Source organism: Homo sapiens, chromosome 5 (assembly GCF_000001405.40).
Source record: "Homo sapiens chromosome 5, GRCh38.p14 Primary Assembly".
Classification (NCBI taxonomy): Eukaryota; Metazoa; Chordata; class Mammalia; order Primates; family Hominidae; genus Homo; species Homo sapiens.
This window is the reverse complement of record NC_000005.10, coordinates 43871552-43873518: the sequence shown is the minus strand read 5'-3', so window position 1 is coordinate 43873518 and position 1967 is coordinate 43871552. Positions and strand designations below refer to the sequence as shown.

Below are 1967 nucleotides of genomic sequence, written 5' to 3'. Positions count from 1 at the left end.
GTCTAGCAGAGAGGCAGTACAAAGAAAACAAATCACAACACAATAAGACATTTCCTACCCTTGTTTCAGAGGAATCTGTAGGCAGATATTTCTCAAAAGACATGTTTCATGGTCAATTAATTCTGGAAACATTGAATAAAAACAAATTTCTTTCCTTAATTACTTCTCAGGGCCTTTAATACTCAAATGTGCATAAGAAATATGTAATAGAAGTCTAGAGTGTAGAGTTTTTTCTAATTATTGATCACAAAACAGGTTTGGGAGTTTGTTGCTTTGTTTTGAGAAGAAACTCAAGTAGAGTTCTGCAAAAGACTATGGAAAGAGTGCCTTTGATCATTAGATGTATATGAAACATGCCCAGGGAGCTAGAAAAGGGATACCCAAGCCTTTCTTCAGTAATCAGGGAATATCTCAATGAGGAAGTAATATTTGAACTAAGACATAAAGAGTAACTGAGAATTGAGCTTGTGTCAAGATACTGAAATGAGAGAGGCCTGCCTATTAAAGAGAACTGTAAAGAAATGTTATAGAACTCGAACGTGTTTGCCTCTCTGTGAGAGACAGATGCTAGAATTTCAAGTTCAGGTCAGAAGCTGTTTACTTCTCGTAAATCCTAGCCTAGGGCTGTGTCCAGGCTCTCTCCTGATCCCTCATTTTTCTTTTTCTGTATTTCCCAGGAGGGGCCAGGTGAGGAGCACAGCAGCCACCCGGGGTTTTCTCATCCTCTATTTCTATAATTACAGTAAATGTTTTCTTATTTAAGCATCTACTTCTCATGTCTGCAGTTTGAAAGCAGGACATCAACGCGATCTAATGTACCCACAACTTTTATGAAACTACATATGAGATGCTGTGGTTTAGATCATCTAAACAATATACAAGATGTGATTCCTTCATGTAATCGCCTTCTATATTTCAAATAAGAATAGCAATTCTGAGTTTATTTACAACATATGTGCCCTGATTCCATATAAGGAATTTATATTGAAGTGTTGGTATTTTATAGAATAAAGGCTGAAAAGATTTTACTACTAGAAATAGTAAATAGTAATTTCTACTAGAAATTTAGAAGACTGCTCTAAGATGATGGGACAGATTATAACAAAATAAAGATGAAAATTGGAGGATGTAGATATTTTCGGAGTTTTTTTTTAAATATATAGAAAGAAATTGGCTGCCAAACATAGGCAAATTTGAAAGTCATTTTTATACAAGAAAGATCATCTAGGAGAAAAAGATTTCTCTTTTTCACTGCCCTTCTTCAAGAGATGGAGCATACACAAGGGATTTCTAGCAATTCAGAACTAAGGAAGCATGACCAAAGGCCAAGAATAATCTGCCTAAATGGCTTTGATTTGGTGATTTGGGGAGACTTAAAACCAAATAATTTTTGTTCTAGAGCTAATGAGCTCTTACCTGCCAAATTAAAGCATACTCAGCTAGAGTTTCTTATAAGAGGACCACTCATTCTAACAAGCAAAAATGACACAAGCAACAAGGAGTGGTGGGGTAAGTCTTAGTACAAATTGAGACAACCATATAGAAATACTGAGGACATCACTCAGCTGTCCACATAATGATGTCTCTTTAATATGACATATTAAAGAAATAGAAAAACAATAAACAATCCCCAGTGACATATTTACATCACATTGAAACAGCAGCTACTTTTCTATTCACACTACAGAGAAGAAAAAGGGTGCCAGAATTGCAGTTACTGATCCCGTGAAAACCACTTCTTACATCAAACGTATCTCACAAAGTAAATGCATCAAAACACATCTTAAGAAACTCATAAAAGCAATTTCAACTTAAAATTTTTCATTTTAATCAACATACTTACTTGAGAATTAACCTAAATTGAACTTAAAGATCACCAAAAAAAAAAAAAATTCTAACAAAACTTACCATGCTGGCAGTATTTTCGAGTTAAAAATTCATCAAGCTTCTTTAAGAAACTTCTTTGT

General features: G+C 34.4%; 1 annotated feature.

Moving 5' to 3' along the window:
- Nucleotides 1526-1695: an enhancer, noted in NCBI's record as "experimental_85485 CRE fragment used in MPRA reporter constructs". NCBI's record gives its function as "activates a minimal promoter by MPRAs in K562 erythroleukemia cells, with activity observed for the non-introgressed 5:43872011 variant allele {active_cell/tissue: K562}" and the evidence as "EXISTENCE:reporter gene assay evidence [ECO:0000049][PMID:34662402]".